The sequence below is a fragment of the Homo sapiens genome, chromosome 5 (genome assembly GCF_000001405.40).
Source record: "Homo sapiens chromosome 5, GRCh38.p14 Primary Assembly".
NCBI lineage: Eukaryota > Metazoa > Chordata > Mammalia > Primates > Hominidae > Homo > Homo sapiens.
In genome coordinates this window covers 35,189,350-35,202,144 of record NC_000005.10, presented here as the reverse complement: position 1 = coordinate 35,202,144, position 12,795 = coordinate 35,189,350, and the positions used below count along the sequence as shown (strand labels likewise).

Genomic DNA, 12,795 nt, shown 5'->3' with positions numbered 1-12,795 from the left:
TTATTATCATCTCCATCTCACAGATAAGGAAACTGAAGTATAAAGAACTTGAGTAACTTGTCCAAGGTCACACAGCTAGTTAGGTGATCCCAGACAATTTGGCTCCAGAGTCACTAGTCCTAACTACAACAATTTAGCCTCTCTTTATCTAGAGGTCTTTATGCATTTGTCTGCATTCTACTTACGTTGGTATTGGTGAGTAAAGATTCCCTTCCAGAATAGGTTTGATAAATTGCCAAGTCTGAAACTGAAAAATTAATATCCATGATAACAGAGGTTTTGGGGTCAAGGAGTGAAAGGAATTCATCCCATCCTGTCTCTAAATACTTTTTTCTTTACCAATTTATGGGAATTTGAGACCAGATATCTGGAACCAAGCAGCCTCACCCTATTAAGGGAAAGAAAAAGAACAGAAGAAAAGAGGAGAGGAGAAGAGAAGAGAAGAGAACTAAAAGTATCTGCAAAAATATTAAAGGATTTGACCGAGATCTCTGAGATGCTCCAAAGATTGCAATTGTGCTTACTATCCAAGTTAATGGCTGTAAATCTAAGAGAATTATGATGTGCCTGGTAAATATTGGTTGTTTTGTTTTAAGTCTTCATGGAGAAAATGGAAAAGACATTGGCATGTAGGATGAAGTCACAGCAGGACAGACAGGTCCTGCAAGTGTTTCTTTAGATGCATTGATATTCATAACATCCAAACAGGCCTTAAGGCTGTCTTCTTACTTTACACTTACCAAAGGGGTAAAATATCATTTTCCTTGGACACACAAATAATAAACGTACTCTCACAACATCACTTGAATGTTGTGGTTTTGCAAATATACTATGTTTTAAAAGCTATAGCCCTCAAATCCCTTACTAGACATCAATATTTGTTGGAATTTCAACATCAAAGATTTATTGTGAAGGGGGAGGGGGAGGAGTTACTCCAAAGGCTAGAACCAGTGCATATACCATAATAACAACTCTGCATGCATTATTGCTTCTAATCTTCATAATTTTGAGTACTATCTTTATTGTCACCATTTAATGAAGATGTTAAGGTTCTGGGGGCTTAAGTGACTTGCCCAAAGTTACACAGCTTGGTAGAAACAGAATTTACCACAGAACTTGTGTGTTAAGCCAAATAATTTTCTAGTTCCATACAACTAAAAATTGGAAGGAAAAAGTAGAGCCTTATGAATAGAGTCCTGAGCAAGAAGGATGAACAATCTGCAGATGAAGTACTCTGTAAAGGAAAGATCTGGGTTTGAATTCTAACCCTGCCTCCGTTCATCTGTGTGATCTTCGCAAAGTCTGTTAACTCTTTAAACTGTTGGATATTTATAAAATGGGACTGGTGCTATTTGGCCTGATATCTTACAGGGGAAGATTCAGTCAGGCCAGGCGTATGTAGGGTCTCTCTGACCTGGAAAGCCCTATATAAAGACATGGTACCATTCTTAGTGTTAGGACTGAAACTACATCCCTAGTGTCCTGACACCTCATACCAATACCCAGAAACCCTAGGCTCTTCCTTCAATCCCATACTCCTTCCTCAGCTGCCAGGACAGCTTGGTTAAGAAAAGCCTTGTTCTTGGGGAGTATATCCATGAAAGTATCTCTATTTCGTTGCAGTTTCACATTAAGTAAAATTAGAGTGCCCTTCACGAAGAATATATAATTGAAAGCCCTCCCACTGACTGCTGGACAAAGCACTTGTCAGTCAACAAACCAGGTAGATTGAGTCTGCCCTCAGAGTTTTTGTATTCTGAGAGTGACTAGCAACTTTCTCTCATCCTAGAGCAACAGGGCTTTCAGAGGACAGGTTCTGGGGCAGCATGTAGCCACGATAGAATTGGTTTGCTTTTGTGTCCAAAGTCATGATTATCAGGAGAGCTGCCATTTATCAACCACCTCTTTGATACTTGGTGTATAGGACAGGCGTGTTAACTATATTATTTCTAAACCACAAGATAAGTCTGTGAAGTATTTTTATCCCTGGTTTACAAAGGAAGAAATGAGGCTCTGCGAGACATGCCAGAAAGAACATGCTCTACACAACCAACTGGTTACAATGTGCGGCTTTGTCCAGCACTACCTCTTCTTTCTTGGCAATCATCAGAGCCACTCAAGGCTTGGAGGACTGTGCTGGCAAAAAAGAAATCTTGTATTTTCTAAAACTCACACCCACACTTTGGAGGGGACAAGATTGAGATCAACCCCATTTCCTACTCTTTTCTTTATGACAGTTTATCAGAGCATTTTTTCCTTATATTCACTCAGTCCTGAGTTTCTATTTAGTTGTGATAATAGATACATTTTTGAATTTTTAATACCTTCGGGTGCAAATTTGGAATCTATGGAGGATAAGGGAGTAACAAAATGTTATGGAAATTGAAATATATAAATTATTAATTTTCCCTCTCCTCTACAGATTTACAATCACTTTATTTGGGGATATCAAGTAGGTTATGTGGTTACTGTAGTACTCATTTAATAATCAGATTTTATTTAGAGAACTATAAAAGGTACAACTTAAGGGGGAAATATATTTTAGATGATGATTTTTTTTTCAATTTCCAATTTTTGAAGAATGACGTGTTTTTAAAAACTTTTAAAGAATTTCTCCCACATTTCACTCCCTTTAAGGTAAATTGATAGCTGTGAAAATGGCACCTTGGAAACATTTCTGTCATAATCATAGGAGAGAGTGAGAATTATTAATATTCTCAGCCATGTAGCATCATAAAGTAGATCACAGCTGTTTCTTTCAGAAAATGTCATTTGATTTTCGATCAGATGTATGGTCCATCTCACAATCTAACCGCTTCCACATCTGGAATATCTTAACTGAAAATGTCCACAGCATTACACGGCCTGGCTCAGGGGGAGAAAAGAACTAGGGCCTGCATCGAATTCTGTCTCTCACTCAGCTGATCTGCATTCCTCCTATAGCATTTCCTTATAATTAAGAAGAGCTCATAGATTTGGGAACTGCATGAGCCTCTGTAACCTTCTGGTGAGGGTGAGAAGCTCAGAACTGCATTTCTATGCATTTTTCCCTAGTCTTTCCTGCTTCGGAGGAGAAGCCCTGCAAGAGCTTCCTGCCAAGGGACCCTGCTTTCTCAGCAGCCGGATCCGGAGAGCCAGAAATCCATCTTCAGCTCCTTTGAACTTGGCTGTTGTTAATCATGCTGTGGTTGTCCTTTAAGAGCAAAGGCTTCACGGAGAGCAGATCAGCTGGCTGTAGGGAGGGTTTCAGCTTCTCATTGTAGGCAGATCATCTGCTAACAGCTTACTGAGAGAAAGTTGAGGACATGTGGCTGAAACACTGTCAGAGCTGCTGTGAACACAGTCCAAGTGAGCAATTTTATGACCCAAACCAAGCAGACACTAAGTGCTTTCTAGTGGTGGAAAAGGAGCAGAGAGAAAAAGAACAAAGACCAAGTGGTGGAAACAAAAAAAATATATATTTCTTTCAGCAGCTAACATATTTTTCTGTTTAGAAGATTGGTATCTCCTACTTAACCACAAACTACAACACATAAGATCAAATAAGATTAAATGTCCGGTTTGCTAAATAGCAGAGCGAAGAAACTAAGGTCAAGATTTCAGACTCTTACATCTGAGGAAAGAGAGAGGCAAAGAGAAGATACTGGAAATGCCAATATCCAGTCAATGAAATAAACAGAGGCTACTGTAGGCATCCCCAGAAGCTTGCCTTTTGTCCAGTGCCATGGGAACCACAGAAGGCACTCAGCTTTGCAGCTTCACTCAGAATTGGGGCAATGCTCCATAGAGTCAAGGGCATGTTATTATAAAGTGCTCCATTTGTTTACTTTGGCAAGTGGAAGATGACTTTGCTAAGCGATACTCTGCTGGGGCTCAGGGCCAGCACTGCTGGAGTAGGAAAAGGGAGACTTCCTGGGGCAAGCCTTCTCAATCTTCCTGCCAGCAGCATTGCAGTCGGAGCGGCACTGAGGTGTCAACAAAAGGATGATGAACTGTGTCAGCAGTGTTAGCAAATGGCTGAAGTAGAACGGAGCTGCCCAGGATGCTGCCCTGTCGCTGGGGAATCTGAGGGAGGCTGAAAGATATTGTAAAAGAGATTGAAGGGCTGGACTGGCTGGAGGAATGGTGCCATCGGCATCCATGCCACAATACTCCAGGACTGCCCTGCCTTTGTCAGGACAGCCATCAGAGGCGGTTTTCCCTCTAACCAGGATGGGCATCACTCCTTGGGCTTGCCAGTCTTACCTCTCCTCATGCAATTGCATGTCCAAGGCATGCCCTCAGGGGATGGTGCTGATCCAGGGTGGCAAACCCAAGTGGGGAGAAAATGCTGAATCTCATCCTCTCAGAGATCTGCTGCAGTCAGCGACTATACTGAGGTGCATGATCTGAGCAGCAGTCGCTGGTTGGGGAGGCTTCTTTGTGGAGTGGGTCTCAGCCACAGCCTGAGGGTCCTCTCTTGGGGATGCTACCAGTTAATTGGGTCATCTTCAGCCTCCACCCAAACTTAGGCCTGTAGGTCCATCAATTACTATATCAGCCTCAAGGACTGAACAGGTGGGAGGAAGGACTAGTGTGAGTGATGGAAGCAGCTGAGCTGAGGAGTGCTGGCACCTGTGCAAATCCAGCAAGAATGACATCTGGCTGAGCTTCAGTCATTCACCTAAGCACCAATCGGGGGTCACTCCCAGATCTGAGCAATGAGGGAAACTTCCCAGGGGGAACCCCGCACTTGGGTAGACCTGGGGGAGCAGCCAGAAGGAAAGGGGTTGAACCTGTAGTTGATTAAGATTCAGAGAAAGAAAAAACAAAAACAGAAAACGATCATAGTTTCAGACACTCCCAATGAGCCTGTGACCTCCCCGAAATCCTATAGCCAAACACACGGGTGGATCTGGCCTCACTTTCCCATTCTCCCACTTGTGACTTTTGATTCCACATCATAGCTAAGGTCCTCGGCAAATTGGATTAAACTTTGGATTTAAAAATAAAATAGAATTAAAATAAAATAAAAAAGTTGGGGACAGGAGAAAGTGGTTTCCAAGAACCTACACCTCTCTACCCTGAAATGACTGAATATTGTGTTCCCCTCAAAATTCATATGTTGAAATCCTAACCCCCAATATAATGGAGCCTTTGGGAGGCTTCATGAATGAGATTAGTGCGCTTACAAAAGGGTCCCAGAGAGCTCTCTCACCTTTTTCCACCATGTGAGGTTACAACAGGAAGTCAGCAGTGTGCAGTCCAGAAAAGAGCCCTAACCAGAACCTGACCATGCTGGCAACCTGATCTCAGACTTCCAGCCTCCAGAACTGTGAGAAATTAAGTTATGTGGTTTATAAGCCACTCCGTCTAAAGCACTTTATTATAGCAGCCTGAACTGATTAAGACACTCCTGAGAACGATTCCTTCGGGGAAGGTCTTGATTAGCCTTCACCTAGCCCAGTTTGCAAACACACTGGAGTGTCCTGCCCATGGCAATGTTCATGTAGCAGCCTGGGAGACAGAGGAGGGGGATTCCTGCAGGAGCAATCTTCCCAAGGAGGCAGTTCCTACTAGCTAACTTTCTTGTCCTGCTTGTGCTCATTGAAGGTCCAAACCTGTCCCCTGCCCTATGTTTGTTTTCCTCCTAATCCCCTGGCTGATGGAGTCAGGCTTTGGAGAATTCCTTTAAGAGTCTTAGTTGGCCTTATGGATCCCAAAACACACCCTTCTCTATTGATGCCAGATTCTGAGCAGGCTGACAGTGCATGCATGAGAACCTTTCATAAAATAGGACTATTTTTTATTCCCTTTGCTTTTTCTTTGTGTTATTTTCCCTCTTCACTCCCTGTCCTTTTACCTTACCATATACATTTGTCACCTCCTTGCCTGGAAAGCCTAGTGTCACCTCCCTGCCTTTTCACAGCCTATAGGATTGAGTCCAAACTTGCCAGCTTGGCCTTTCATGGAGTGCAGGTTTAGTACAGGACTGCTAAACACAGTTTCAGAATGAACCATTCTCCTGGCCTTTATCATTGCCAATATTTCTCTTTATTTTATTTTATTTTATTTTATTTTATTTTATTTTATTTTATTTTATTTTATTTTATTTTATTTTATTTTATTTAGGGAGAGCCGATATTTCATAAGAGTTGATGGACTGCTTTGCCTGGAAACTTGAGAATTCATATTTTTATTCAAAATCGTTTTCATTTTTTTGCTTAGAGCCTGTTAAAGACTGAGGCCCTCTCTCTGTCCCTTCTACTCCCAGCCAAACCCAATAGACACATGTGAGCAAGTTGTCACCTGACCCGAAGCTCCAGCCCCTGGAACCAACTGAAACAAAATGTATCCTTGCATTTTCCAGCAAGGAATTGCCTTGCCTACAAAAATACTCTGTACTTTAATATGCAGATCAATTATTAACAGTAGGCTGTACCTTTCACCAGGTTGTAAAAGGATGACTGCGTAGAGCCACAGCATTCTCCTTGTCAGTGTAGGAAATGCAGAGGAGGATTTACCTCCGGCACTTGCCTCTAAGACACCTAATAAAGATGAGGAAGGCTCCAGCCTGAAGCGTGGGTGAGGTGTCCAGCTGCCCAAAGGCGACAGGTGAGATACTCAGGTCCCCTTCCTCTTTTTGCTGTCAGTTCTGATTCTCTCCTTTCAATCTTTCTCATCTGTGATTGGGAATGGCAGGGGTGGGGTGTGTTTGGGGCATCAGTGGTGGTAAAAATGGTCTTATGGGCAGGGCCATGTTGAATAAGAGATGAGCATGGAGACAGCGTATTAACTTAAAAGGCCAACACCGAGGCTCATTTGAGACCGTAGGAATTCCAGGGAGACAGTGTTGTTCAGGCATGGGATCGAAGATCAGGAGGGCGGCTCAATAACACGCTGGCCCGGTCACATGACAGACCAGTCCTTGGAGTGAACTGGGAGACAAGGAGGCTGCTTTGGCATGGAGCTGAGAACATCTCTAGATCGCACTGGAAGGCAGAGAGAGGCCAGACAGGGAACTCTGAAGAGCTGCCACAGCCTGTGCCAGGGTGACATCAGGGTGAGTTGAGATGATTTTTTTAACAAACTTCATTTTTTGCAGCAGTCTTAGGCTTACAGAAAAATTGAACAGAAAGTACAGACAGTTCCCACATACCCGTTTTCCCCCACAGAGTTTCTTCTATTAATAACATCTTATGTTCGTGTGGTATGTTTATCATGATGAACCGATGTTGATATATCATTATTAACTAACAAGTCCAGAGTTTACATTAGGGTTTACTTTTTGGGTCGTATGGTTCTATGAGTTTTAACAAATGTATAATGACCTGTATCTATCATTACAGTATCATACAGAATAGTTTCACTTCCCTAAAAATCACCCTCCCTTCCTTCCTGCAAATCTCTGACAACTGCTGATCTTTTTACTGTCTCTATACTTGTGTCTTTTCTGAAATGTCATGTAGTCAGAATCATGCAGAATGTAGTCTTTTCTGACTGCTTCTTTCACTTAGCAATATGCTTTTAAGCTTCCTCCATGTTTTTCCAGGGCTTGGTAGCTTCTCTCCGTTTTAGCACTGAGTGATACTCCATTGTATGGATGTACTGTAGTCTGTTTATCCATTTGGGCAGACTTTCCAGCAAGATAGAAGGCAGAAGCAATGGAAAGGGTGGATGAAGGGAAAACTGCAAGGAACACAGGACAAGATAGAAGCAAGAGCAGGAAGGTTTTGGAGAAGTGGAAAAACAAGCTAGAGAGATAGGCACAGAGGCCTAACCTGGGGTAAGGCAGGGCCTTGTAACCAACGCTCAGTGAGAGAGGCAGCCCCTCACTGACCTGCACCAGGCCTTTCCTGATTTTATAGACAGAGTGTCATGAGGTCATGAGGGCAGGAACCATGTCAGCTTCATCCTGAGAGCCCAGCACTTTGTAGGCATCTAATAAATATTTATTACACCAATGAAACCTTCAAAGTCTCTTCTAAAAAAGCAAGTTCTCCCAGACACCAGAAGACAAATGGCCTAGCAGCCCCTGAGCCAGTCATCTCGGGCAGTTGTGAGCTGGTTGCTTATTTGAACCCTCCATGCCACGGGGCAGCATCAAGCTTGCCTGACACACACCTCCTGAGCCAGGAATTCACCACTTTGCCACCATCTCTGCCTGGCTTGGGAGATGCTCCGTGGACAGAACCAGAGCCGTGCTGCAGGGAAGCAGAAAAACCAAAGGAGATGCATGCCAATCTAACATGCCAGTTTAAAAAAAGGCATTCTTGCCTCAGAGTAAGAATCCAGCTCTCCATGCACTCGTCTTTCAACCCAATCACAAGGCATCAGAATTAGCCCATATGACCTCTATGGGACAAGAAGAGCAAGCAGGGTGATTTGGGTGCTAAGAAATAGCTGTGAGAGGATGATGCGGCAGCTGTGCCCTCCAGATGTTCGGAGAGAACATCTGTGCAACAATAGCAGTAGCTCCCATGCACTGATGTGAGAACCCAGCCTAAGGGGTACAGCAATCTGGGTGGTAGGGGGTAGCTCTCAGAGGGTCTGACAATTCACCTAAAGATTGCAGGACCAATAGGAACCTGCCAGTCAGAATTTCCTAGCTCAGTGGTGCCCTCCAAGCAAGAGAGCTTATCAGCCAGACCTGTGTCTTGGTGCAACATCACTGCTTAAAATCAAGTCCTCCCAAGGCATGGTGTCCATTTTACTTTCTCTGGATGAAATGAAGACAGAGAATGAACCCAGTAAGATGATAGAGTGCTTTGCTTTGGATCTGTTCATATCTTACCCGTGTTTGTGCTCACATGAGTTACACAGTCAGTACAAGGGTAGAGAGCTCTTGAGAATTTCTTACCTAAGGGAAAGAACTTGGGGGCTGCTTTGCTCAAAGGCTATTTTTCAGTGTGGGGCTTATCTAGAGACATATATTTTGCTCCTTGTCCCCACTGCTGTTGCATAACTACGGGAGTTGAGGGTCACTATACACAGACACAGATGGTAGAGATGGGGGCAGTGGTTGGGCAAGGAATAGCTGCCTTGCCACTTCGAAGTCTCCTAAATGGCATCTCTGAAGAAGAAGGATATGTCCACAGGGAGAAGGGCCCCATGGTGACTCTGTTGCTCCTAATGTGCCAGGCTCAGACTCTTCAAACCACAAGAAGTGGCCCAGCGAGTTCCATGTAACTGCAAATGCAAGCAGGAAAAAACCACACTCAGATCTCAGCACAGCATCAGTCTTGGGGACAGCTGGCCTTTCCTAATGCAGCAGCATCTGGCTGCTTCTGCTGTACCTGGATGTCTTCAGGGCAGTTCTTCCACACAGAGGACCCCAAATAAAAGCAGAATTCCTACCATTAAGCTTTCCGTATCCAAAACTTTCTATGTGAAAGATACAGCATCTGTGTCTCACAAGAATCTGTTTTCTTGGGGCATCTGCTATTTGGCAGCTAACCAAAACAGAATTCCCATCTTATTTTCTTGTTCATTTGTGCTACATGGAAGGGACTGGTCCTGAATATTCAGGGCAACATCCAGCATTTGGTAGTAGTGGAGAGAAAGAGAAGAGAAAGCTCTGGACTGTGTTCCTCTGTCTGGGAATGTGACTCTCACACCTCCCAAATCCTCCCATTCACACTTTTTCTCCCTGACTTTCCAGAACCCTTTTTAGGCTTAGCTCCTTTTATCTTACCCTACACGCTTTCTTTCTACCCACACTGGTGGGTACTTTTCAGCCATAGACATTGGAGCACATTTAAATATGCTGGAGTCCTTAGAGAATTAAGAGGTGGGGGAGAGAGGAGGGCACAGAGCTGAGGATGGCACTAGCTCATTCACAAGGAGCCCTGAATTTCCAGGGACATTAAAGAACAGATGCTCATGACAGAGCATAGAGCTCTGCCCTAATTGTTTGTAATGTTGAACTATGTGTCATTCGTTCACTCATATATTCTCTCAACATTGGAATTGAGCACCAATTATGTAACAGAGTAGGTCTTGGCAATACAAAGATGAATGAAACATACCCCTTGTCCCCAAGAAGTATGTGGACACGACAGGCACATGGACCAATGATGGTCATGTCAAGCGTGATGAAGTCCATGGTCCTGAGGGACACTTGGACCACGGCCTGCATGAGAGGGCCTGGAACCCAACTGGGCGGATCTAGAAAGAATTCCTCTGGACTTGATTCCTGAACTTGAAGGTAGAGATGGAAGGAGAAGAGTTCTGGGTAGCATGTTCCTGGCAGAAGAAGCCCACTGCAAGAGCAAAGGCACTGAGGAAGCCTGGTGGTCACTGGAAAACTGGGATTCAAGTAGCTGAAATCGTAAGGGTGCAGCCTAGGGAGAAGTGAGACCCGTGGTGGGGGGCAGAGCCAAATCTCTGTATCCAAACCTTTCTATATGAAAGATACAGTGTCTGTGTCTCACAAGAATCTGTTTTCTTCGGGTGTCTGTTATTTGAGTGCTAACCAGAACAGAATTTCTAAAGATGGTCTTTGAGGCCAGGTAACAAGGCTGAGGCTAAGAAGAACTATGGAAGGTCTGTTGGCAGGAGAGATGTATGATTAGATCTGCATTAGCAGAAGGAAAGTTCTGGCTGAAATCTGCAGAGCAGTTTGGAGGGGACAAGACAGATGACATGGAGAACACTTAGGACGCTGTTATAATAAAATAGGCTAGAAATGATGTTCCTCAGAAGTCCCTTTCTCCCTGCACACCTGGCCACCTCAGACTTCCTGTTCAAGGGGAAGGCAGGCTGGGGAGAGAGGTTTCTTGAAAATAACACATCTGGGCCGGGCGCGGTGGCTCACGCCTGTAATCCCAGCACTTTGGGAGGCCGAGGCGGGCGGATCACGAGGTCAGGAGATCGAGACCATCCCGGCTAAAACGGTGAAACCCCGTCTCTACTAAAAATACAAAAAATTAGCCGGGCGTAGTGGCGGGCGCCTGTAGTCCCAGCTACTTGGGAGGCTGAGGCAGGAGAATGGCGTGAACCCGGGAGGCGGAGCTTGCAGTGAGCCGAGATTGCGCCACTGCACTCCAGCCTGGGCGACAGAGCGAGACTCCGTCTCAAAAAAAAAAAAAAAAAAAAAAAAAAAAAAAAAAAAAAAAGAAAATAACACATCTGTTAATTGGATCATTTCTGTGTGGTCAATGTCTGTAGGGGCTTTGTTTTGGTCATCATAGTATAAAATCCCCATTATGTAAATATTTCCTCCTGATAAAAGCTCACTGTGTGTCTATAACCCTACCAGCTTCCTTATAGTATTTGCTCATTACCAGGTTCAAGGACCTGTCTGTGTGGCTCTTCCCCAGAGCCTCTGTTGGAAAGAAGATTTGTCTTTGGTTATAAGTAGATACACAGTGGTCAAGATGCTCTAGCACAGTGCAGCAGAATAAGATGGGCTCAGTAGGGAAAGATCATTCACCCCTAAAGTGTACACTTATTCTTTTCTGATTATGATAGGATTATGTTGAAATTAAAAATTGTTTCAACGAAAAAGCAACTGATTGCTTAGGCCAAAGCAGAACTTTTTTTTTTTTTCCTGAGGCAAAGTCTCAGTCTGTCACCCATGCTGGAGTGCAGTGGCACAATCTCACAATCTCGGCTCACTGCAACCTCCATCTCCCCAGTTCTAGCGATTCTCCTGCCTCAGACTTCCGAGTAGCTAGGATTACAGGCACCTGCCACTATGCCCAGCTAATTTTTGTATTTTTAGTAGAGACAGGGTTTTGCCACGTTGGCCAGGCTGGTCTTGAACTCCTGACCTCAAGCGATCCACTCGCATCAGCCTTCCGAAGTGCTGGGATTACAGGTGTGAGCCACCATGCCCAGCCAGAATTATTTTTAGTACTGTAGTTAAGAGGGCACATTCTGGAGCAAACTGCCTGCTAAGTGTTCGCTGTGGGGCATTGGGGAAGAACTTAATCTCTTTGTGCCTTGGTTTCCACATGTAAAATGGGATAATTATATTGTCCCCCTGTACTGGTTTGCTGGGGCTGCCATAACAAAGTACCACAACTGGGTGGCTTAAACAACAGAAATGTGTTGTCTCATAGTGCTGGAAGCCGACTCACCTCAGAAGCATGGACTCCCTTACCTCCAAGTCCAAGGCAATGGGGCTCTCTCCCTCTTGCCTCTTGAATTCCTGCATCTCATTTCACTGGGTAAACAGGGAGGCTCCTGTGCTCCAGCAGGAAAACCCTGGACTGGGAAGCAGGATGTCTACTCTGATCCTGCTGCCCCAAAGCTGTGCGGCTTTAGACAAGTGGTTTGACCTTTCTGGGCTCAGTTTCCTTGATTTTCACTATTATTTGAAGGGCTTGGGGTCATGGAAATCATGAACTCTTCACACTGAGAGGAATCTTCATAATCCATTTTGTAGATAACGAACCTAAGGCTGAAGAGGTCAGGGGCTTGCACCCAGTCATAGAGCTAAATGAGGTGCAAAGAACCTAGAACTCCGGCGTCTTGACTCCCACCTGGGACACATTTTATCAGTAATAGTGAACTCTCATCTGTTGATAGTGTTAGAATTCTCACATTTACTCCCCATAACAACTTTCTTTTTTTTTTTTTTAAACGGAGTTTCTCTCTGTCACCCAGGCTGGAGTGCAGTGGCACGATCTCAGCTCACTACAACCTCTGCCTCCCGGGTTCAAGCTATTCTTCAGCCTCAGCCTCCCTAGTAGCTGGGAATACAGGCATGCACCATGGCGCCTGGTTAATTTTTGTATTTTTAGTAAGGATGGGGTTTTGCCATGTTGGCCAGACTGGTCTCAAACTCCTGACCTCAAGTGGTCCACGTGC

At 44.4% G+C, this 12,795-nt stretch overlaps 1 protein-coding gene across 6 annotated transcripts in view; it reads left to right on the top strand.

Annotated features, from left to right (window-relative positions):
- Positions 1–12,795, top strand: part of PRLR (prolactin receptor) — a 181,732-nt gene that overhangs the window by 28,343 nt on the left and 140,594 nt on the right. For 3 of the 6 annotated variants that reach the window (XM_047417388.1, XM_011514068.3, XM_047417390.1), the window contains exon 1: positions 6,461–6,594. The exons of 2 other annotated variants lie outside the window; for them this stretch is intronic. The gene's annotated coding sequence lies outside the window, so the exon portion shown is untranslated. Of the gene's footprint in view, positions 1–6,460; positions 6,595–6,899; positions 7,043–12,795 lie in introns of those variants that run through there. One more of the 6 variants, XM_006714484.3, reaches the window with a different exon arrangement.